We start from the raw sequence: 24,787 nt of genomic DNA, 5'->3' as shown, positions 1-24,787 counted from the left end.
TGTACATTTTTTAAAGTGTCAATTATCTTTTCCCTCCTCTCATCACAAGCAGAATATCTCAGGAGTATATCCTTGCCGGTACCTGTGCTGGTGGAGGACACCAGCAGCAGCAGTGAGTACGGCTCAGTTTCACCCGACACGGAGTTGAAAGTGGACCCCTTCTCTTTCAAAACAAGAGCCAAGTCCTGCGGAGAAAGAGATGTCAAGGGAATTCGGACACTCTTTTTGGGGTAAAGACCTGACTTACTTGGGGTGAGAGAAGTGTGTTGTTAAGTGTGTCATTTTATAAAGGGAACTGTGATTTATGCTGCATAAATTTTCTCAGCATTCCAGATGAGAATTTTGAAGATCACAGTGCTCCTCCTTCCCCTGAAGAAAAAGATTCTGGATTCTTCATGCTGAGGAAGGACAGTGAGAGGCGAGCTACCCTTCACAGGATCCTGACGGAAGACCAAGACAAAATTGTGAGAAACCTAATGGAATCTTTAGCTCAGGTAAATCCTCTCCCAGGTGCTTCATTTCCCAAAGGTTACATATTTTATCTGTGTCCTAACCGCCTGCAGCTGTCACAGATGATGTGAAAGGCAAGAGGAACCTGTAGTGATCATCATGATAAACCTACCCCACAGGAAAAAAGAAGGCAAACCCTATGGTAGGGAATATATTAATATGAAAATAGGGAAATGATTTTTTCATTGCATTTTTGAACATAAGCTATTTTTAAGTCAGAAGCAAATTTTTCACATTGGTGACATTCCAAATAGCCCCTACAAGCCTCTTTTACTCTTCATTCATTTGTTTATTCATTCCATCAATAAACACACATTAAGCCATGTGAGTTGCTAATTCTGACATTAGCATGAGGCTACCTGCCAGTCGCTCCTCTCAGCATTTGGGAAACATCAGCAAATACAACAGAACCCCTGAGCTTGTAAGGTTATATTTAAAAGGAGGGTGAAGGGCAAAGGGAAGTAAATTGTAGTGAGTCTTCACTTAATGTAGTTGATAAGTCCTTGGAAACTGTGACTGAAGCAAAATTACATATAACCAAACCAGTTTTGCCGTAGACTAATTGACATAAACAAGAGTTAAGTTCCTATGGCATATTTCTGGTCACAAAAACATGACCAAACTCCTAAATAAAGACTAAAACACTTCTAATATTCTACATTGAAATAAATGTGAACTCTATATACATTTAAGAAAGATGAATAAAAACAAGATAACTATCTACCCAGTTCAAGGCCATGGGTGGCCAGAGCCTATTCTGGCAGCTCAGTACCAGGCGGGCACCCGCCCTGGAAAGGACACTATTCCACTGCAGGGTACATACACACACACACCCACACTGAGACCACGTAGACACACAAATGAACCTAACGTGCACATCCTTGGGATGCGGAGGAAACTATATGTATTAGTCTGTTCTCATGCTACTAATAAAGACATACCTGAGACTGGGTAATTTATAAAGGAAAGAAGTTTAACTGATTCACAGTTCCACATGGCTGGGGAGGCCTCACAATCATGGTGGAAGGTGAATGAGGAGCAAAGTCACATCTTACGTGGCGGCAGGCAAGAGAGCTTGTGCAGGGGAATTCCCATTTGTAAAACCATCAGATCTCATGAGACTTATTCACTATCATGAGAACATCACAGGAAAGACCCACCCCCATGATTCAGTTACCTCCCACTTGGTCCCTCCCATGACACATGGGGATTATGGGAGCTACAATTCAAGATGAGATTTGGGTGGGGACACAGCCAAACCATATCACCAGAGTACCCCAGGTAAGGCCACACAGACATTGAGAAAATGTGCAAATTTGCCAGGTGTGATGGCTCATGCCTGTAATCCCAGCACTTTGGGAGGCTGAGGCGGGTGGATCACGAGGTCAGGAGATCGAGACCATCCTGGCTAACACGGTGAAACCCCATCTCTACTAAAAATACAAAAAATTAGCCAGGCGTGATGGCGGGCGCCTGTAGTCCCAGCTACGTGGGAGTCTGAGGCAGGAGAATGGCGTGAACCCTGGAGGCGGAGCTTGCAGTGAGCTGAGATCGCGCCACTGCACTCCAGCCTGGGCGACAGAGGGAGACTCTGTCTCAAAAAAAAAAAAAAGAAAAAGAAAAGAAAATGTGCAAACTCCACACAGACAGTGGCCCCTACCAGGAATCAATTCTTTTTTTTCTCATCAAGGTTAGAAGGAAACAACATTGGGCAAAACAGTGTTATTTGAGGATCTGCTGTATGTAATAGTTTAGAAGGCCATATGTACTCTGAAGAAAACAAAAGCTTGTCAGTGAACCTATCATTCCTTGGTATAATAGTTTGCTAGGGCTGTGTTTTAGTCCATTTTCTGTTGCTATAATAGAATACATGAGACTCAGTAATTTATAAAGAAAAGAGGTTTATTTGGGCTCATGGTTCTGGAGGCTAGGAAGTCCAAGATCCAGTGGCCCATCTGCATCTGGTGAGGGCCTCATGCTGCTTCAACTCGTGGTAGAAAGTAGAAAGGCAGTGGGGCTTGAGTGGAAAAAAGAGAGAGACAAGGAGAGCCAACTGGCTTTATGACATCTTGCTTTCCTGAGAACTAACCCAGTCTGTTGAGAACTACATTAACTGCATTAATCCCTTCATGAGCCTCATGACCCAAATGCCTCTTTAAAGACTCTGCCACCTCTCAGTATCATTACATTGGCTATTAAAGTTCAACATGAATTTTGACAGGACAAATCACATCCAAACCAGGGCAAGCAACCATAACAAACTGTCACATACTGGGTGGCTTACACAACAGAAATGTATTTTCTCACAGTTCTGGAGGCTGAAAGTCCAGGATCAAGGGGTTGGCAGGTTTGGTTTCTCCTGAGGCCTATCTGCTTAGCTTGCAGATGGCCACCTTCTTATTATCATGTGCTCATATGGCCTTTTCTGGTGCACTTGCAGCCCTGGTGTCTCTTCCTCTTCTGATACGGACACCAGAAACATCAGTTCAATTGGATTAGGGCCCCACCCTTACGACCTCACTTAGTCCTAATTATCCCTTTTGAGGCCCTGTCTCCAAATATATCCCATTGAGTGTTAGGGCTTCAACATACGAATTTGGAGGACACAGAACCATAATACCTGGGAAAATGTGTTCCCTGGAATTCTGTGTACAAACACAAGGAAGAATCCCCTTCCCAAATATGCACCAGGAGAAAAATGGATTTCCCTCAGCCCCAAGCTTCTTGTGGATACAACCTCCCACAGACACACTCAGTCCCTGGTATGACACTTCTCATCCTCTTTTAGTTCAATGGGTACTGGGAACTCATCTACCTGCCTCCCTTGCCGTGGCCTCTACCTGTCCTTCATGATCACTGTGGACTACTGCACATAGCTTCTTCCCTCCCTGTGTCCTGAGGAAATAGCTGCAAAAAAAGGTTGGGGCTAGAGGAGTCTAGCCAAGTTTTTAAAGTCTCTCAGTACAACAGTTTACCTGTTCTCATCTTTTATTGAGATGTAAATGGAGCAAAGCTCTCTCTTGGCTCTTAGTAAACAATCTCAGCCTGTCTCTGCCTTGAGAAACTCACTGTGCTTCTTTGCTAAACATTTTATCGCCTTAGGAATTCCCTAATGTCCACCTCTTTAGATCTCATAGAAGGAGCTGAAAGGCCATATATGTGCCAGTAGGGCCTCAGTACAAGGAGAGCTGAAATGAGTGTTTTCTACACACTCTCAAAAACCTTGACTTGGGTCCTAAAGGAAAGCTGTCTCGGGCAGTTACTCTGAGGCCCAGGAAGAAGGTGCTCTAGAGTGAGGGGTAGCTGGCCTCTGAGTCCAGGGAGGATGAGTGTCATGCATGCTTCGTGGCGGTGGAGACTGGAGTGGTCTCGAGCCATCAGCTTTCTCTCTGGCCTTTCCTTTGGCTCACGGTGATCATTCAAAGACTGAGAATAGGACTGGGTTGACCCAAGAAGAGGAACCAAGCTGGATGGAGAGAGCAGCTGGGCAGCCCTTGGAGTTCTTTCATTTATTCATTCAACAAATACTTATTGAGCATCAGTCGAAGGCCAGGCACTGTACTATGTGCTGGGGATGCTGTGGCGAACTGAACAAAAATATCTGCATCCCCTTGAAGTTGACATTCTAGCAGAAGAAGAAAAACTATACATATATATAAAACATATAGTAATAACAGCTAACATTTTCTTTAGGCCAGTTACTGTTCTTAGTATTCCATGTGTATTTGCTCATTTAATTTTCATGACAGTAATACTATACCAATAGTTCTATTAGCATCCTCATTTTACGAATGAGGAAACAGGCACAGAGGACTTGAGTAGTTTGCCGAAGTCATGCAGTCCTAAGTGATGGAGTTAGGATTTTGACCCAGGCAGTTTGGCTCTGAAGTTTTTGCTTTAACCACCACATTGCTCTGCCTCGCTGGTAGGCCCGATGGTGACAAGTGCTAGGAAAACATAAAGTGGGGTGGGGATTAGGCATTGGAGGTGAAGAAAGAAAGTAAATCACCATTAGCCACTGCAGAGTGAAGGCCTCTCCTGTGGACCTTTAAAATGCTTGATTTTAGGTCAAAAACACATAAAACCCAGGAATTGCCTAAATCTCTAATTACCCCCAAAGAATGTGCTTTTCCAGTACAGGAAATGCCAGTTTGTTGGGGTCTATTCTTTGTCTCCCTGCTGGACCATAGCATCATCAGGGATAGGACTGCCTTGGTCATCACTTCTATGACTGTGCTGAAATAGTTAAATGTGGGAGTGGTTAGTCATATTCAATTGTTTGGTGCCTCCTGGTTTTAAAGTGCATTTGAATGTCCTCTGTAAAAGGAGAAATGAAAGAAAACCTTAAAAGCAACCATCAGAGGGCATGCCTTAGGGGACCAGCATGAAGCTACCAGTGAGTACCCGAAACTGCTGATCAGAATCACATGCTGAATCCATAATGGCCACATGATGGTGGGGCCCTTCTGACTGCTGTTAAGGATGTTGGGAATCCTTTCCTGTGACATCAAATGGTGATTCAGTGGTAGAACAGGTCCTGACCCAGGTTGACAGCTGCTATTGCAGGTCATTGGGGCAGTAGAATAGAATGGTTAGGAGCTTGGGCTTAGCTTGCTGTTTGAGGCCTGGTTCCATCACTTAAAGGCTGTGCAATTTGGGCAACCGATTTAACTTCTCAGAGCCTGAACCTCCTCATCTATGATAGAGGAGTCTACTTTATAAGCTTGCTATCAGGAGTAACTGAGATTGTGAGTGATTTAAATCATAACAGAAAATATTCCACAATTGTTAACTGTTATTGTTATCATTATCAAGCAGGCTAATAATAGTTATCTAATATCTTTAATTTTTTTCTACAATCAATCAGAAGTAATTATTGCCATTGTATTGTTTCTAGATACATATTTGTATCTATATTTAAGCCTACACTTTATAACAAAACCAAATCTAGATATTGGTCAGGTCCTCAAACCCTTAAACCATGAAAAGCCTTTTAATCTGTAACATCCTTCTGAAATCCTTTCCTGGTTTTTGAGGAAGTTTAAAGGATAAAGACTGGAGAGCATCTTTGCAGAAGACCCTGTGTGTTAGTCAGGGTTCTCTAGAGGGACAGAACTAATGGAATACATATATATGTAAAGGGGAGTTTATTAAGTATTAACTCACATAATCACAAGGTCCCACAATAGGCTGTCTGCAGGCTGAGGAGCATGGAGAGCCAGTCTGAGTTCCAAAACTGAAGAACTTGGAATCTAATATTTGAGGGCAGGAAGCATCTAGCACAAGAGAAAGATGTAGGCTGGGAAGCTAGGTCACTCTCTCTTTTCACATTTTTCTGCCTGCTTATATTCTAGCCACACTGGCAGCTGATTAAATTTTGACCACCCAGATTAAGGGTGGGTCTGCCTTTCCCAGCCCACAGACTCAAATGTTAATCTCCTTTGGCAACACCCTCACAGACACACCCAGGATCAATACTTTGTATCCTTCGATCCAATCAAGTAGACACTCAGTATTAACCATCACAACCTGGTACTAGGAGTGCAGGAAATGCATACCGTTAAATCTATGCTGATGCTGAGTCAGGCTCACCAGATACTAGCCAAGATGCTTGTTTTTGAAGGCACATGAGTGAGTTAACATGGAGAGACTGGAGTCAGAACAGAAATAAATGATGACGTAAGTAGATGAAATAGTCTGAACAGAAAACATTTCCCAGAGTAGAGCATGTTCCTTTGCAGGACAGTAGCACACACATCAAAAAACCAGAAGCAACATGTTTTTCTGTTGTAAAAACAAAGTTAATGTCGAAAAAAAAGTTTGCCATTTGAAGTTTGCTATTGGCAAACATGTTGCAACTGAGTTTTTACTAAGAGAAGCTTCCAATTTCTGCATAACTCACATTTTTCTTCTTGAACATGTTTTCATGATGTTATGATTTTGCCTGTGAATCTTTACCTTGGGTGCAGTTTAGTTTGTGGTAAGGAAAAAACCAACAAAGTTTATAATGGTTCCCATTGTGATTTTAAAGTATTCGTTTAATGACAGCTTTCAAGCTTTTCAATATAATCTTATCTCATGAAAACATAAACATGAGACCAAGCTTCCAAATGAAAATATATTAAGAGAAAGAACTCGATGGTGCATTTCTTTTTTATTTTAATAGACTCCTAGAAATTATAATTTTCACAGCCCAGTGGAGGAATTTTAATTTTAATGGTACAGTAAGAAAATGTACAATATAAAATAAAAATGATATAATAGTTTCTTAAAGTTTCTTATATTTTCTTAAAGTTAAATGGGAACAAATAACATCCTACTGTGCTTCCTTAAAGAAGCAGTGTGGGCTGGGCATGGTGGCTCATGCCTATAGTCCCAGCACTTTGGGATTACAGCACTCAGGAGGCTGAGGCAGGTGGATCACTTGAGGTCACGAGTTCAAGACCAGCCTGGCCAACATGGCGAAACCTCAGCTCTACTAAAAATACAAAAGTTAGCTGGGCATGACAGGTGCCTGTAATCCCAGCTACTTGGGAAGCTGAGGTAGGAGAATCACTTGAAGTTGGGAGGCAGAGGTTGTTGTGAGCTGAAATGGAGCCACTGCACTCCAGCCTGGGTGACAAAGCAAGACTTTGTCAAAAAATAAATAAATAAATAAATAAATAAATAAATAAATAAATAAAGAAAAGAAAAGAAAGGAAGCAATATGCCTTGCTCAAAGGAGAAAAGTTCCATCTGAGGTTGGGGAAAGTGGCTCACATCTATAATCCCAGCACTTTGGGAGGCGGAGGTGGGAGGATCACTTGAGCCCAGGAATTTGAGACCAGCCTGGGCAACTTAGCAAAACCCAGTCTCTACAAAAAGTTTTAAAAAAAATTATCTGGGTGTGGTGGCACATGCCTATAGTCCCTAGCTACTCAGGAGGCTGAGGTGGGAAGAGAGCTAGAACCCAGGAGTTAGGGGCTGCAGTGAGCTATGATTGTGCCACTGCACTCCAGCCTGGGTGACAAAGAGAGGCCCTGTCTCTTAAAAAAAAACAAAAAAAAAAAAACAAAAAGAAAAAATCATTTTGAGAAAGAGCATTTGTTTGAACATTGTAATATATTTTAGTGTAATAAAATAGTCCATCGGTCCGTTCTTAGAAGCAATTGCTTCATTGATGGGTAAGGGGTAGTTTCAAAAATGAAGTTTGAGATCAGCCCCTCTTGGTTGCAAGGAACTGACACACCGTTAGGACAACTGAAGTACCAAGGACATGTTATAGGTAGACACGCATAGCAATAAGGGAAGTAGACTCTTAAGGAATTCCAATCATAGTGCCTAGCCGAGTCTCACAGACACTGAAAACAGAATATGAGCCTGAGGAACTTCAAGTCCCCGGAGTTTGCACATCTTTTCTCTGGCTTGGTTGCTGTTGACCTGCTTGGTGTGCATTTCTGTTCTTGTCCACTTCTCCTCTCCCTCCCTGATATGGTTTGGCTGTGTCCCCACTCAAATCTCATCTTGAATTGTAACTCCCACAATTCCCATGTGTCGTGGGAGGAACCTGGTGGGAGGTGATTGAATTATGGGGGCAGGTCTTTCCTGTGCTGTTCTTGTGATAATGAATGAGTCTCACAAGATTTGATGCTTTCAAAAAATGGGAGTTTGCCTGCACAAGCTCTCTCTTTTTGCCTGCTGCCATCCAAGTAAGATGTGACTTGCTCCTCCTTGCCTTCTGCCGTGATTGTGAGGCTTCCCCAGCCACGTGGAACTGTAAGTCCAATTAAACCTCTTTCTTTTGTAAATTGCCCAGTCTCGGGTATGTGTTTTCAGCAGTGTGAAAACGAACTAATACACTCCCTATTGTCTTTCTCAATTCCATTGCTTCTGCTATGGTTGGACATATTCATGACCCTATTTTATAGCTTCTCTTTCCGGGCAGACTTTCAGGTTGAGATCCTATGGCTTATTGCTCAAATCTCTTTTTAGTTCCCAATTAAAATTTCTGAAAGAATCTTATGGCCTTAGTCTTTTTGGGCAAAGCTTTGTTATCTGACTATATCATGGCTACTGACCAGCGTGTGGGGCAGGTACCTTTTCTCTCTGATTATTTCTTGGTGTTGGTAGGAGGATTGAAGAGGTGCCATATAGTTCAAAATATGGTCTTTCCTTTGGAGACATTTGGAAGTCCAGTTCTTCTCAGAAAGGGCTGTGGGAAGTATGGTGGCTCATGCCTGGAATCCCAGCACTTTGGGAAGTAGTGATGGGAGGCTCGCTTGAGCCCAGGAGTTCGAGACCAGCCTGGGCAATATAGTGAGACCTTGTCTCTACCAAAAGAAAAAAAAATGTGGGGGCAGGGGGTATGGAGATAGGATTACCATGGCAGGTATATCCAGCATATGTTGATGTAAGGATTGTTGATTTTTATTCACAGGGGGCTGAAGAACCGAAACTAAAATGGGAACACATCACAACCCTCATTGCAAGCCTCAGAGAATTTGTGAGATCCACTGACCGAAAAATCATAGCCACCACACTGTCAAAGCTGAAACTGGAGCTGGACTTCGACAGCCATGGCATTAGCCAAGTCCAGGTGGTACTCTTTGGTTTTCAAGATGCTGTAAGTATGATATTTTGCCAGTGTTTTCCCACACACTAAAATTAGTTAGAAAAATAAGATAAAACATAAGTTCTGTTATTTTTCTTTTAAAATTCCAGTGAACTCTATTCTTTTTGGATGAAAAATGTGAGATATTCGCCTCTCAGTGTGCTTCTAAGTATCTGATTTGTTGTTTTGTGTGTTTGCATTCCCCAAATTAAAAAACACATAAAACCAAATCACCATGGAAAATAACAAAATATTTCCCATGGCTGAACTTCGTTCTTATGAAATTATGTTGGGTCATTGTTTATTTTGACAACTTTAGCAACGTAACACACTTTAGTCATACATTTTCTAATGCTATATGAGAAATGCCATCTAGTGGCCATTGAGAAAAATTTAATAGTACAGATTGAAATGGTCACTGCTGAATAAAACCAGTTAATTTTTTTCCAGTTTTTCTCTAGTTTTCATATAGAACATTTTTAACATGTTTGTTTCATAAATACCTACTCTGTTCTAGCCAGAAGTATACTTTCAGAGTACAGAGCATCACTGATTAAAAATTAAAGCACATGATCTAATGAGAGATTGCTGAGAAGTCTTCTCTCCAAAATTGAGTTGCTATGCAACACAAACTAAAGCCAGTCTTCTGTACTGCATTCAGAACCCTCTGTGTTATTCTTGGGTGAGACTTATCTGTGGAACTCAGTGCCAAAAAAGCCTCAAGCCACCTCCAGGAGACCCTTAACAAGATGTGGGAGACTGAAATAAGAGGGTTCTTGATGGTGCTTGTGGTATAAATATGGAAGTATAATTTTATTTAAATTCCAAAATTAATTCAGCCCTAATGTGTGTATTGCTTCTTTGTAGAAAGTGTGTTGACAATTTTATTTGCAACATCAAATGATCCCCAATTTAAAGCCAAATTAGAATCCTTCAATAACTACTAGCATTCTCTGAGACACTGTGTAAGCCACTTGGTCTTTATGCTATATTGTGGGCAGGGACAAGAGTCCTGAGTTGATTGAGGGCATAAGAAATTAAAGCAACTGGCAAAGCCTATCACTAATATTAAATGCTAAAAGCATGCTTATGCTGCAACTAGGGAAACCCAACTGCCTGCAAGTAGAGTGAAATAATTTAGCTAATTTGCACTTGCCCACACATTTGGCCTCTAGCCTAGAGGTTGGAAAGCAAGTTTGCTGTAGAATTCAGACTGAGAGCTATTGGGTTGTACTCCTGGGCCTTGGGCCAGGTCAGACACACACACACACACACACACACACACACACACACACACACACACGTATACACACACGTGTACACATACACGCCTGCTCTTGCTCATTCACTGTCCAGGATGAGAATGAACCCAAAGTATGGGCCCTATGATGTAATTTGCTATGTAATAAAGAGCTGAGAGGAGCAGGTTATGGTTATAACAGATCCCTCTTCCACCTAATAAGAATGTAAATTTTTTTTTTTTTGAGATGGAGTCTCCCTCTGTTGGCTAGGCTGGAGTGCAGTGGCATGATCTCAGGTCACTGCAACCTCTGCCTCCCGGGTTCAAGCAATTCTTGTGCCTCAGCCTCCCGAGTAGCTGGAACTACAGGTGCCTGCCACCATGCCCAGCTAATTTTTGTATTTTTAGTAGAGATTGGGTTTTGCCATGTTGGCTAGGCTGGTCTTGAACTCCTGGCCTCAGGTGATCCGCCCGCATCGGACTCCCAAAGTGCTGGGATTACAGGGCGTGAGCCACCATGTCCAGCCAGTATGTAAATTTTTTAAAGAAATGAAGGTACCAGGACAAACTCAGCCTGGATGGATTTTCTAGAACAAGTGGGAACCTAGCAAGGGTTCATTTCCTGTGCAACTAGTACGATGAAGTCCTCAAACTGACTCTCTTCCAAACTAGGGGAGTTTGATGAAGATGGACCAAGGACAGGCATGAGCAACTGGAGCTCCAGCTCTTGACATGGGTTTGTGGCTGGGTCACCATCTCCCCAGCTGCAGTAGGGATGGTGATTAAATTTTTGGAATTTAAATAAAATTATACTTCCATAATCATACTATAGATACTCAGAGGTATCTAACCAGAGCCCTGTTGGGGAAATAGCCTCTTTTTTTAGAGGTCTGTGTAAGCCAGCAGGTAGTAGAGTTAACCCAAAATCTAAGTGAGCTTGTCATAGTCTTATGCTAAAAGCTTGTTTTTACAAAGGTAATGCACATGATAAATACATACAATGGAATATAATTCAAGCTTAAAAAGGAAAGAAATCCTGACACATGCTACAACATGAATGAAGCTTAGAGATGTTATGCCAAGTGAAACAAACCATTCACATAAGGCCAAATACTGTAATTCCACTTATGTGAAGGTACCTACAGTAGTAAAATTTATGAGAGACAGAAATTAAAATGCTTGTTTTCAGGGACTGTGGGGAGGGAGAAATGGGAACTTACTGTTTAATGAGTATAGAGTTTTAGTTTTGCAAGATAAAGAGTTCTGTGGATGGATGGCGGTGATGGTAGTACAATAATGTGAATGTACTTAATGCCACTGAACCATACACTTAAAAATGGCTAAGATGGCCAGGCACGGTGGCTCATGTCTGCAATGCCAGCACTTTGGGAGGCTGAGGCGGGAGGATTGCTTGAGCCCCGGAGGCACAGGTTGCAGTGAGCCATGATCCCGCCACTGCACTCCACCCTGGGTGACAGAGCAAGACCGTGTCTCCAAAACAAATGAAATAATAATAATAATAAGAAGAAGTAATTGAAAATAATGAACAGTAAGAACAGCCTTTATTTTTATTTAAAGTCTCTTAGACCCTGTCTTCCTCCTTCACCCCCTCCCTCCATCCATTCTGCAGACATTATAAAAGCTAAAAACTGCACATTCTGAGTCCCAAAGAAGCAACATTCTCATTTGAACCAGACTGCCTTTCACTTAAATAACTTATTTGCTTACATGGGGCTCACTAAACTTTGATTTGAAGTAGCAATTTTTACTTTGTTTTCCAATGACATAAAGAATTACAAAGAATTCAAGTTGAAGAAACTTTTTAGTTGTTTTGTAAATGGAACTTCATACAAGTGCTTCGATCATCTAGGCTATTTGCAATTAAAAATTAAAGTAGGCTAAATGTCACTCTCTCTCCAGGTCAATAAAGTTCTTCGGAATCATAACATCAAGCCGCACTGGATGTTTGCCTTAGACAGTATCATTCGGAAGGCGGTACAGACAGCCATTACCATCCTGGTTCCAGGTCAGAGATATTTAATTACTCTGCACATATTTAGTGCTTGGATATTTTAGATTACTGTTCATCTGTTATTTCTGATATCACCTTAGTACTTTAAAAACCATAATACCCTTTTTTAAAGAAATATTTTCAACATCACCAAATAGTACATATAGTCTGGATAATGGTACACCAAGCAAAATATTTACTAAGAATGAGGAAGACTTGCTTCCCCTGTCTTTAAGGAATGTGTTTAGATGTGAAGAGAAAAAGTATACAGGTGACTCAGATAAATACGCATTTCAAAATATAGATATCTGGACCACAAAACACATTCCTACATCTTTTACCCAGTGGTTCCCAAATCTTCCAATGTATTGAGCAATTTAAGGAGGTATTGCATAGCTCGTTGCATTGAGCAATTTAATTGTCTTTAAAATTACAGCTTTCAAAGCCCCATCTGAAGCCAAATAAGAATCTGCCAGGAATAAAGCCCAGGAATCTGATTTTTTTTTAAAGACTAGTCTTTTAGAGCAGTTTAAGATTCACAGCAAAATTGAGTGGAAGATACAGAGATTTTGCACATACCCCTTAGCCTAACACATGCATAGCCTCCTCCATTATCAAGGTCCCCCACAGAGTGGTATATTGGTTACAATCAGTGAATCTACATTGACACGTTATCATCACCAAGAGTCCATAGTTCACATTAGGGTTCAGTCTTGGTGTTGTACATTCTCTAGGAATTCTACATATATAATAACATGTATCCACCATTATAGTATCATAAAGAATATTTTCACAGCCCTGAACATCCTGCTTGTTCCATCTGTAAGAACTTGATTTTAATACAGCTCTCAGGTCATGTCGATGAGTAGCCAAGTTTGGAAATCACTGGTCTAGACACAGCCCCAGCTATGTTGGCAGTGAGATACAAAAGGGGTAGTGTTGATGAAACAAGGCTTTTTGGCATAAGTGAGGAGTGTATTCATACTCTAAGGCAAAACCTCCAACGTGTTTTGATAGTCTACCCATTAATAAAAAATTGTAGGCAAAGCTCTTCCACCCTGTGTGTGTGTTGGGGTGGTGGGTGGATGCATGGATGCATGGATGAGTATGTAGGTAGGTAGAAAGAAAGAGCAGTTGACCAATTGTTACATGGATAGATACAGATTTATATATATTTATATAAACAAATTAGAAACATGTTCTATTGTACTAATTTGTACCTATATTATAGAGCATTCTGAAATATAAATTTAAAAGGATAAGATCAATATGAAATATTTTCATTTTAGTTTTCTTTTTTTTTTTTAAGTAGAGATGAAGTCTCACTCTGTTGCCCAGGCTAGTCTCAAACCCCTGGGCTCAAGCTGTCCTCCCGCCTCGGCCTCCCAAAGTGCTGTGATTACAGGCGTGAGCTGCTGCACCTGGCCCTGAAATATTTTTAAATTAAAATTATTTATAAATGGTACTACAAACTTTTAAGTTCAGGCCAACCCTTCTGAGTTGTGGAATTCCCTCTCTTCTCATAGAACACTTGGGTGTTTGACATGAGAGCGAGAGCATCCGTGTCAATCTTTATGTCAAACATTGGTCAAGATTAAGTTATTTCTTATGTAAGAAAGAAACAGAAGTTCTGCTATCCCTGAACATGTTACTTCTACCTGGAACACACCTCCACCCCATGTCTCTCCTGTCCTGTGGCTTGCACCTTTGCATTCTTCAGGCCACCGAGAGTCTGGACCTATCCCCAAATCTAAAGTAGGCTTCCTCTGTTATTCTCTCTCCTTGGAAATGGTTTTCACCTATTTGTGATGCCACAATCTGAAACTACTTTTGTTTCTAGTTTAATGGCTGTTACCCTCACCAGAGGGTAACTGTTTGTGGTTTATTTTATTCTGAGCCTAGCATACTGTCCAGCACAGTGTCTGGAAAACAGCGGATCCCTGATTCATATTTGGTTGAAACAATAAGTAAATGAGTTTCACCTGATTATAACAAATTAGGGTGGAAATTTTGCATGGTGTAGAAACTTAGAAAAAAATTCTAGAGAGCCTTTGAAGCACATGATTAGTAGTTGGAATGTGAACCTAAGAAATTCATGCTCTAAGGAAGTCAAACAATATTTATATTCAGATACTTTATCATTAGGATAAGGCTGGTTGTAGGGAATGTGCTATAGAGAGGTTAGATATTCAAAAGATCTATGGGATGAAGGGGGAATAGTGTATATCACTGAAAGGGAGAGGTATGGGCCATGAGTTAAACACAGTAGCAACCTAAATTAAGGACACCTAAATGAAGAAAGGAAAAAGAGAGTATATTTTGAAACAACTTAAATAGCATATAAATGATCTGTTTACTTAATTAAAAAAAAACAAACTTCCTTTTAGTAATGATTACCTAATGTAATGTGGTATCCAGAATAGAAAACGAACATTAGTGAAAAACTGAGAATCTGAGTGAAATCTGCAGTTTAGTTAATAGTTTATACCAATGTTAATTTAATCATTCTGAAAAACATGCCATAGTTATGTAAGATATATTAGGAAGAGCTGTGTGGATGGTATACAGGAATTCTTTGTACTATCTTTGCAATGTTTCCATGAATCTAAAATTCTTCCAGAATAGAAAGTTTAAAAAGCAAAAGTAACTGTAGGTGAAACTCTGTTAGGTTTAGGGAGAACAGCAGGGAGGTTGCAGAGAGGGAGCTGTCCTTGCACGAGTGTCCCAGGGATGGACACTGCTGTGATCAACCATGTGCAGAACAAGGCACATTTTTTATTAAAAGTGTTTGCTAAAGAAAGGACTTTGTTCTTCCACCATGAAATTGGTTTCTTTGAGGCCACTAGGAGTTTCTGATTTCAACTGAAGTTACTGTTTGAAAACATTTATTTTTGAAAAGTGGAATTTTTAGAAGAGAATTACATAGACAGTACTTTTTGTATTTCCCTCAGGATAAGATAAGTCCATATACACTGTATACCAATATACAAATGATGAATTATGTGGACAAAATGAAGTGATGTCAGTCATTCAACAACTCCATCAAATTTTCAGATGTCCTGAAAGATTTTGTTATGCCATTAAGATATAAAGAAATTACATGAAAAACAGACGGTCTTCAAATGCCCCTGATAAAAATTCCTTTCAGATGCAAGATACTATAGTTAACCTGCCATTTCAGAAGACATGCGAAAGAAGACCACAAATTTTAAAAAGTATACCATCGCTAGTACAATATGCATTGCTTAATGACAGGGCTATGTTCTGAGACATGCGTCCTTAGGCAATTTTGTCATTCTGCAAACATCCTAGAGTGGACTTACACAAACCTAGATGGCAGAGCCTACTAGATGCGCAGGCCTTATGGTATGGCCTGTTGCTCCCGGGCTACAAATTTGTATGGTGTGTTACTAAACTGAATATTGTAGGCAATTTTAACACAGTGGTAAGTGTTTGTGTGTCTGAACATACAAAAGGTATAGTAAAATATAGTATTACAATCTTATGGGACCACTGTAATATATGCGATCCATCCTTGACTGAAATGTTATTATACCGTACATGATTGTACGTTCATTTCCTAGATCTGTCTACTGAGAAGACCCAAATCTTGGTTTCTAAATGCCATTCTTCAATAAAAGGAATTGGGTTTCCTTGGAGAAGTGGTTGATTCCGGGCTGGGGGCAGGGGAAATAAAAGATAAGATTGTAGTTGGGCATGGTGTCTCACCCCTGTAATCCTAAGGCTTCGTGAGGCCAAGGCAAGAGGATTGCTTGAGGCCAGGAGTTTGAGACCAGCCTGGCCAAAATATCAAGACCCTGTCTCTAAAAAAATAAAAATAAATTAGGCAGACATAGTGGTGCATGCCCATAGCTACTTGGGAGGCTGAGGTGGGAGGATTGCTTGAGCCCAGGAGATAGAGGCTACAGTGAGCTATGATTGCACTGCTGTACTCCAGCTTGAGCGACAGAGCGAGACCCCATGTCATAAATAAATAAATAAATACCTGGAACACCTTGTGATGCCAGAAATAAGAAAGTGTCAAAAAGGATGGAGATTTATTGAAAGGACACTAGAGCCAACCTGAAAATGTTCCAAACAGTCCAAGCCAGAACAATCTGAACAATAAAATAATGATCATATTGGATTATAGATTATAGAATAAAATAAGCATCCGTGAGTCCATATTAATATAAATAATTGAATAAATAAATATATGGACGAGAAAGATCACCTTTTTGTTATAGTAGAATTGCGACTGATAAATAAAAATGAATGAGGAAAACAGAAAATCACCAGTAGGCAAACACCACAGTAATAATTATTGCAGGCAAGGACCATCAATGACTGCTAAAGTAGGCAAAAGAATGAGGAGAAACAGGATATATGTGGATGGTTTTCAAACTGTCTCCCCACAAGATATTTACTAACTACAAGGAGAAAACAGTAATTTTACAGTGAAGGAATGTGGCAGACACCCCCTCAACCAAATGATCAAGGTAAGCATCACTAGTAAGAAGACACATCAGCATCATGTACCTCCTGATAGGATGCCCTGAGAAGGACACAGCATCACACTGTGGTGTTCTTGCCAAAAATGCACAACCTCAACCTAATCACAAGAAGACGTCAGTGAACCTCAAATAAAAGACATTGTACAAAAACCTGACCAATACTCCTCAAAAGGGTGAAGGTCGTGAGAAATAAAGAAATACTAGTTACATACTGGAAGAGACTAAGGCGACATGACAACTAATTATAATGAGGGATCCTTGATCAGAAAAAGGACATTGGTAGGAAAACTGGTGAAATTCAAATAATGTCCATAGATTAGTTAATAGTATTGTGTCAAAGTCAGGTGTGGTGACTCACATCTATAATACCAGCACTTTGGGAGGCTGAGGTGGGAGGATTGCTTGAGCCTAGGAGTTTGAGATCACCCCAGGCAGTGTGGCAAAACCGCATCTCTACATGAAAAATACAAAAATAAGTCAGGCATGGCAGCATGTGCCTGTGGTCCTGGCTACTAGGGAGGCTGAGGTGAGAGGATCAATTGAGCCCAGGAGGTCAAGGCCACAGTGAGCTGAGATTGCACCACTGCACTCTGGCCTGGGGGACAGAGTGAGACCCTGTCTCAAAAAAAAAAAAAAAAAATAGTATTGTATCAATGTTAATTTCCTGGTTTTGATAATAGTGCCAAAGGTATATAAACTGTTAAGGCAAGAGCAAGTGGCTGAAGGCTATACAGGAACTCTCTGCACTATTTTTGCAACTTCTCTGTTATCCTAAAATTATTTCAAAATAAAAAGTTAAAAAAAAAGTGTTTAGGCCGGGCGCGGTGGCTCACGCCTATAATCCCAGCACTTTGGGAGGCCGAGGCGGGCGGATCACGAGGTCAGGAGATCAAGACCATCCTGGCTAACACAGTGAAACCCCATCTCTACTAAAGATACAAAAAATTAGCCGGGCGAGGTAGCGGGCGCCTGTAGTCCCAGCTACGTGGGAGGCTGAGGCAGGAGAATGGCATGAACCCCAGGGGGTGGAGCCTGCAGTGAGCCGAGATCGTGCCACTGCACTCCAGCCTGGGTGAAAGAGCGAGACTCCTTCTCAAAAAAAAAAAAAAAAAAAAAAAGTGTTTAATCTTTTTTCCAAAAGGAGCACACAGAACAGAGAGTACAGTACAAGTCCCTTAAGAATTTGTTTTTTCTCAGACTATTTTCTCACTTGTCATCAAGAATCAGCCTTTAGATTATTGGCAGCATTAGTCCTCTAGTACAGTCTGCTTGTGGGTGACCAGATGGAGTAATGCTGAGCACAGAGACTATGATGGCCGTGCTAAGGTAAGAGTATTGATAATGTAAGCATACTTCCTCTATCAACAATAATTGTTAACAGCTGCTTCAAGCACTTGATATTACCACTAGTTGTTAACTGAATCAAGCATGTGCTCCAAGTTCACATTAATGTGAATTGAACAGCATTGTGTACGTACGAGGAGCTTCATGCAAGTGTTATACACTGCACTCACAAGTATTATGATCTTACTAAGCATTAGAAATACTCTGTGTTAAAGAAGCTTGGTCTAGGCCAAGCGTGGTGGCTCATGCCTATAATCTCAGCACTTTGGGAGGCCAAGGCAGGCAGATCACATGAGGCCAGGAATTTGAGACCAGCCTGGCCAACATGGTGAAACCCCATCTCTACTAAAAATACAAATATTAGCCAGGTATGATGGCGCATGCCTATAATCCTAACTACTCAGGAGGCCGAAGCAGAAGAATCACTTGAACCTGGGAGGCGGAGGTTGCAGTGAGCCAAGATCATGCCACTGCACTCCAGCCTGGGTGACAGAGTGAGACTCTGTCTCAAAAAAAAAAAAAAGAAAGAAAAGAAAAAGAAACTTGGTCTAGTTATTTTCCTTCCTCTGGGGAAGTAACCATTTGGGTGGGAATAGTTTTGTTGTTGATCCCATCTTGCTGGTTTGGAAACAATGCACTGGCTCCACTTTTCCACTCATGGGCTTTAAGGCCCCCTTGAGTCCCAGTCTTTCTCCTGACACATGGCTGTCTCCTGACAGTCCCCTCTGCTTTACATTGTTCTCAGAGGGTCCTGGGCCATCGTTTGAGCTTCATTCTTTCAAATACACTTCCCTCTTTCTCTATCAAGCCAAGGCTCCCCTCCCCCAGAACTCTGCATAGGCCCTTCAGCCTCCATGAATCCCTTAGTGAGTGAGTAAACTACCACTGGATTCAGTCACTGCAAATGTACTTTATTTACCCCTTAGCACTCTTACTACATGTATGTGTTAGGGTTCTTCAAAGAAACAGAACCAATAGGATACATAGAGATATATAAGAGAAGATTTATAATGGGAATTGGCTCATGTGATTATGGAGGCTGAGAAGTTCTACCATATAACATCAGTAAACTGGAGAACCAAGAAAGCTGGTGGTATAATCAGTCTGACTCCAAAGGCCTGAGAACCAGGGGAGCCAACTGAAATTGAAGGTCTGAGAACCAAGAGCTCTGATATCCAAGAGCGGGAGAAGGTGGATGTCCCAGCTCAAGAAGAGAGAAAGAGAATTCACCCTTTCTCCATCTTTTTGTTCTATTCAGGTCCTCAGTGGACTGGATGATGCCTGCCCACATTGGAGAGGGCCATCTTCTTTATTAAGTGCATTGATTCAAATGCTAATCTCTTCTGGAAACACCCTCACCCCTCACAGACACATCCAAAATAATGTTTTACCAGCTATCTGGCCATCCTTAGCCCAGTCAAGTTGACATATATAATTAACCATCTCAGTGTACATGTGAATTATATATATAACTAGGTCTATACCTGAGATAATCTGAGATATTTGTAGCTGTATTAATTTGTGCTTATAATTTCATGTTATATTTCAATGTGCTCTCAGCGCTCTTCTGTGTATTTGCCCTAGTTCTCCTTTAGATTGTCATCTCTTTGAGAAAAAGAACCAGATGTTCTGTGTCATTTGCATATTTTACAATGTTTAATCTGATGACATGCACTCAGGGAACCACCATGAAAGACCAAAATAACAAAGCACTGCATGAACTTACAAGTTTCTACTTTCTTTAAATTAATTCAGAGAATTTTTTACGTCATATATACATACGTAAAATGATAATTTAAAGTTTACAGAATTAAGAGGATATTTAAATATAATAGGATTATAAATTTTCCTTCCCTAAAAGTGAGATTATAGTCAACAGGACTACAAACCTTTCAGTTTAGGGCTGGGCATGGTGGCTCACGCCTGTAATCCCAGCACTTTGGGAGGCCGAGGCGGGCAGATCACCTGAGGTCAGGAGTTTGAGACCAGCCTGACCAATATGGAGAAACCCCATCTCTACAAAAATACAAAATTAGCCAGGCATGGTGGCACATGCCTGTAATCCCAGCTACTCGGAAGGCTGAGGCAGGAGAATCACTTGAACCCAGGAGGTGGAGGTTGCAGTGAGCCAAGATCGTGCCATTGCACTCCAGCCTGGGCAACAAGAGCAAAACCCCGTCTTAAAAAAAAAAATCAGTTTAGAAATCATGAAATAAATTGAAGAATAATTATAGAAAGTTGTAAAAGGTCTAATCTTGTCCTCTAATTTAATCTAGAATCACACTTTCTTAAATTATTTTTAAGTTATTTTATTGCTTTCTAAATACAAATAACCAAATAACCCTAGTAGGAATACTCTTCCATTCTGCCAACAGTTTTTGAAGACCTAATACGTTTAGCCCCTGCAATCAGCGCTGGGTTTACAAAAGTAAAACACATGATTTTGACTTACTCCTACCGTACTATCAATAAATTAAGAAATGGGATTTTGGAATAAGAGATGAGATAGAGTAGAGGTGAAGTTTGGTTAGCCTTAAGAGATAAAGCATGAGGACATGGAGAAATTGGAATCCTTGTACACTGTTGTTGGGAATGTAAAATGGTACTGCTACTATGGAAAACAGTATGATGGCTCCTCAGAAATTAAAGATAGAAGAAAGCACCCTTGTGAACCAGCAATTTCTCTTCTGGGTGTATATTCAAAAAAACTAAAAGAAGGATTTCAAAGAGACATTTGCACATTCATATTCATAGCAGTACTAGTTACAATTGCCAAGAGGTGGAAGCAACCCAAGTATCTAGCAACAGATGAATGGATAAACAAAATGTGGTGTATACATATAATGGAATATTATTCAGCCTTAGAAAGGAAGGAAATTCTGACCCATGCTACAACATGGATGAACTTTGAGGGCATTATGCTAAGTAAAATAAGCCAGTCACAAAAAGACAAATAGTATATGATTCCATAATTTTATGGTTTTTTCACTCCTGTAGTTCAGCAAGTGGGAGGGAGTGGCACCCAGTGGCTTATTCTCTCCCATTGTTCGACAAGTGGGAGGGAGTGTTACAGCTGTATTACTCCTGCCGCTGACAGCTTGGCGAGCAGGAGTGCTACATCCCTTTCACTCCCACAGTTCAGTGAGTTCTGGGTTCTTGTCCCGTGACCAAGAAGAATAAGGTACACGGACATTGGAGAGTGAGTAAAGCAGAGTAGAATCTAATTGAGTGACAGAAAGAAAGTTCTCAGCATTGAGAGGGGACTTGAAATTGGGTAGCCATCTGTGATGCTGAGTCTGGGGTTTTTATGGGCTTAGAATAGGGGGGTGCATGCTGATTGGTCCATGGGAGGTCTTGGAAAAAGCACCATTTGATTGGTTAAAAGACATCATTCAGAAGGAACCAATTGAGAGAGAGTGGGTAAAATGGGGATAGATGTTCTCACTCTGGTTGTGGACTCTCTCCAGAATTGGCAGCTTGCTTCTCAGGCTTTAAACTGTCCTTGGTTTGAAGGTCAGGTTTCACTGGAGATCAATCCCTGTCTGCCTAGGAATTTATCTGTCTCCTGTAACTATAAACGTGAGGTGTCTAGAGTAGTCAAATTCATAGAAACAGAAAGTAGAACGGTAGTTTCCAGAAACTGAGAAGAGGGAGTAATGGGGAGTTGTTGATGGGCAGAGTTTGAGTTTTGCAAAATGAAAATATTCTGGAGATTGGTAGCATAACACTGTTAGTATACTTAACACTACTGAACTGTGTACTCAGAAATGGTTAAGATGGTAAATTTTCTGTTATGCACTTTTTAAAACCACTATACAGAATTTTAAAAGAGGGATAAAGAAAGCCAGGTCTATGTAAACTGGGCCTTGAAAAAGGACACTCTGGTTTTTGTTATGATCAAAAGATGATGAGTTCTCTTTAGATTGTTGACTTTAAGGTGCCTACCGAACAGTAATGTCCAGGATGTTCTAGATGTTACAGGACCGGGACTAGAGGTGTAGAGTTTGTCATCCACACATCTGAAATACTTAACCTTCGTGGAGTTGAATGAGCTCATCTATGGAGCAAAAGTAGAAACATAAAAAAGTGAAGGATAGAATCCCAGGTTCCAGCTTAAAAGTGGGCAGTTAGTAGATAAAAAGGCTCTGAAGAAGAGAAATAGCAGCCAGAGATTTAGAGGAAAATACTGTCCACAGATCAAATAGGGTAAATATAAAAAGGTACCTAGAGGATTTGGCTGGCAGGCCTTTGGTGACCTTGCCAAAGTGCCCATATACGAATGGTGGGATGGGGTCCTCCATTGCTCCCAATGGACTCCCCTCCTGTACACACGGGCTCTTAACCTGTGGTTCATGGACTCGGGAGAGGCTTCAGGGAATCTGTGCAAATATAGCAAAATCTAGGTAAAACGAGGAAATCTAGGCAAAATGTTGCATGTATGTGTTTTCTTCTGGGGAGAGTTTTTATGACTTTCATCAGATTTTTAGTAGGTTCCATGATCCGATAAATGTTCTATGTGCCGAAGCATATGGAGTGAAAATTCAATATTTCTGCTACCTTGATTTCACTTAAATTATGACTGTAATTCCTTTTTGTGGACCAAGTTTAAGGATTTAATTACAATTTGTAATATTTTTTCTTATGGGAAGATATTGTTGACAAAAAATAGCCAAACTCTGTAAAATATTTAGAAGTTTATTCTGAGCCAAATATGAGTGACTATGACCTGTGACAGAGCTTCCGGAGGTCCTGAAAACATGTACCCAGGGCAGTTGGGGTATAGCTTGGTTGTATACTTCTAGGGAGACAGAAGTTACAGGCAAAGACATAAAGCAATATATGTAAGGTAGATGTTCAGCCCAGCAAGGCAGGACATCTGGCAGGGATTGGGAGGTGGGGAAGTGGTTGGGGTCCCAGGTCATAGGTAGATTCAAAGATTGGCAATTGGTTGAAAGAGTTAAGCTTTGACTGAAGAGTTGAAGTCAGCATAAAGAAATGCTTGAGTTAAGATAAGGGCTATTGTGGAAGCCAAGGTTCTTATTATGTAGATGAAGCCCCTAAGTAACAAGCTACAGAGAGAATAGATGGTAAAATCTCTTATTGGACCTTAAAAAGTGTGAGACTCTTAGTTGAATCTCTCATGGATCAGGAAAAGACCTGGAAAGGGAAGGGGATTCTCTACAGAATGCAGATTTCCCCCACAAGTGATGACTTTGCAGGACCGTTCCAAAATATGTCAGAGAAATATATTTTGGGGCAAAATACTTTGACTTCCTTTATGGCCTGTTGTTTGTCATGGGATGCTATACTAGAGTCAGGTTGGAATTTGTTATCTTATTGCTACAAAGAGTCTGTTTTGTCAGCCTTATGATCTTTATTTTAATGGTAATGCTGGTCAGTTGTGCCTAAACTCCAAAGGGAGGAGGTATAACCAGGAATATCTGACCTTTCTTCCCATAATGGCCTGAACTAGTTTTTTCAGGTTTTTTTGGGGATCCCCTTGGCCTGGGGGTAGGTGGTTCTTCAGTCAGTTGGGGGGCTTAGAATTTTATTTTTGGTTTACAATATCATCCAAGTTTTTTTTTTTTTTTTTTTTTTTTGAGACAGACTCTTGCTCTGTTGCCCAGGTTGGAGTACAGTGGCATGATCTCGGCTCACCACAACCTCTGCCTCCTGGGTTCAAGTGATTCTCCTACCTCAGCCTCCCAAGTAGCGTGCCACCATGTCCGGCTAATTTTTGTATTTTTAGTAGAGATGGGGTTTCACTATGTTGGCCAGGCTGGTCTCAAACTCCTGACCTCATGATATGCCTGCCTTGGCCTCCCAAAGTGCTGGGATTACAGGCGTGAGCCACTGTGCCCAGCCACAATATCATCCAAGTTCTAAACTGACATGCAGGTGATCTCATGTTATATAGTATGTTTAAGTTGGAAAATTGTAACTTCTATGGTTTAAATTTCAATGGTTAGTCAACAGGTTAGAGGAGAACACACACTAGAAATCGGCCCAATAGTCAAAGAGAGATAGTCTTACTAATGTGAGTATCAGCCTGCGTGTGGCATTTTCAGCACCTGCCCTGTATCCCCTTACATTTTGGATGTTACAGGCAGAAAGCATTCTGCATATTCACGTGTGTTTATATAATCTCTGTATAGCTCACTTTCCTTATCTGTAAGCAAGTTAATAGTTGTCAGATATTATGTAATCTGAAAATGAACTTTACTTGTATAAACACTTTTAAATATTCTTAAAAGGTTTTTACATCTTTACCTTTCTTTCAGATTCCTAGCATTTTCCCCACATATGTGCAATGTGACTATGTATTGATCATTCTTGAATTAAATCATTCTGTTTGAATTAGATCATTCTTTCCTTCTGTTTGAATTAGATCATATCTTGTGAATTTTGCAAGTTCAATAGAAGAACAAATCTGAGTCTACAGAAATCCATCCTCACTTTTGGAAAAGCAGTTTGGAATATATATCTTATTGACGGTGGGGCAGGAGGGTAGCATTCATATCTTAAGAAATTAAGGCAATGAGTCATATTTTATAAACACTACCACTGATATTATGCCA

General features: G+C 40.7%; 1 protein-coding gene across 8 annotated transcripts in view, besides 1 other annotated feature; it reads left to right on the top strand.

Annotated features, from left to right (window-relative positions):
* MAP3K5 (mitogen-activated protein kinase kinase kinase 5) overlaps nucleotides 1-24,787 on the top strand; it is a 236,046-nt gene that overhangs the window by 200,425 nt on the left and 10,834 nt on the right. For 4 of the 8 annotated variants that reach the window (XM_017010875.2, NM_001438058.1, NM_001438579.1 and 1 more), the window contains 4 exons: nucleotides 53-230; nucleotides 326-494; nucleotides 8,927-9,112; nucleotides 12,261-12,366. In XM_017010875.2, the coding sequence (XP_016866364.1) occupies nucleotides 53-230; nucleotides 326-494; nucleotides 8,927-9,112; nucleotides 12,261-12,366 (639 nt within the window). Of the gene's footprint in view, nucleotides 1-49; nucleotides 231-325; nucleotides 495-8,926; nucleotides 9,113-12,260; nucleotides 12,367-24,597; nucleotides 24,782-24,787 lie in introns of those variants that run through there. The other 4 variants (XM_047418784.1, XM_017010872.2, XM_017010877.2 and 1 more) reach the window with 2 other exon arrangements.
* Nucleotides 23,130-23,330: a silencer, noted in NCBI's record as "peak6148 fragment used in MPRA reporter construct". NCBI's record gives its function as "represses an SCP1 promoter by STARR-seq MPRAs in K562 erythroleukemia cells {active_cell/tissue: K562}" and the evidence as "EXISTENCE:reporter gene assay evidence [ECO:0000049][PMID:32103011]".

This window comes from Homo sapiens, chromosome 6 (genome assembly GCF_000001405.40).
Source record: "Homo sapiens chromosome 6, GRCh38.p14 Primary Assembly".
NCBI lineage: Eukaryota > Metazoa > Chordata > Mammalia > Primates > Hominidae > Homo > Homo sapiens.
This window is presented reverse-complemented; position numbering and strand designations above follow the sequence as displayed.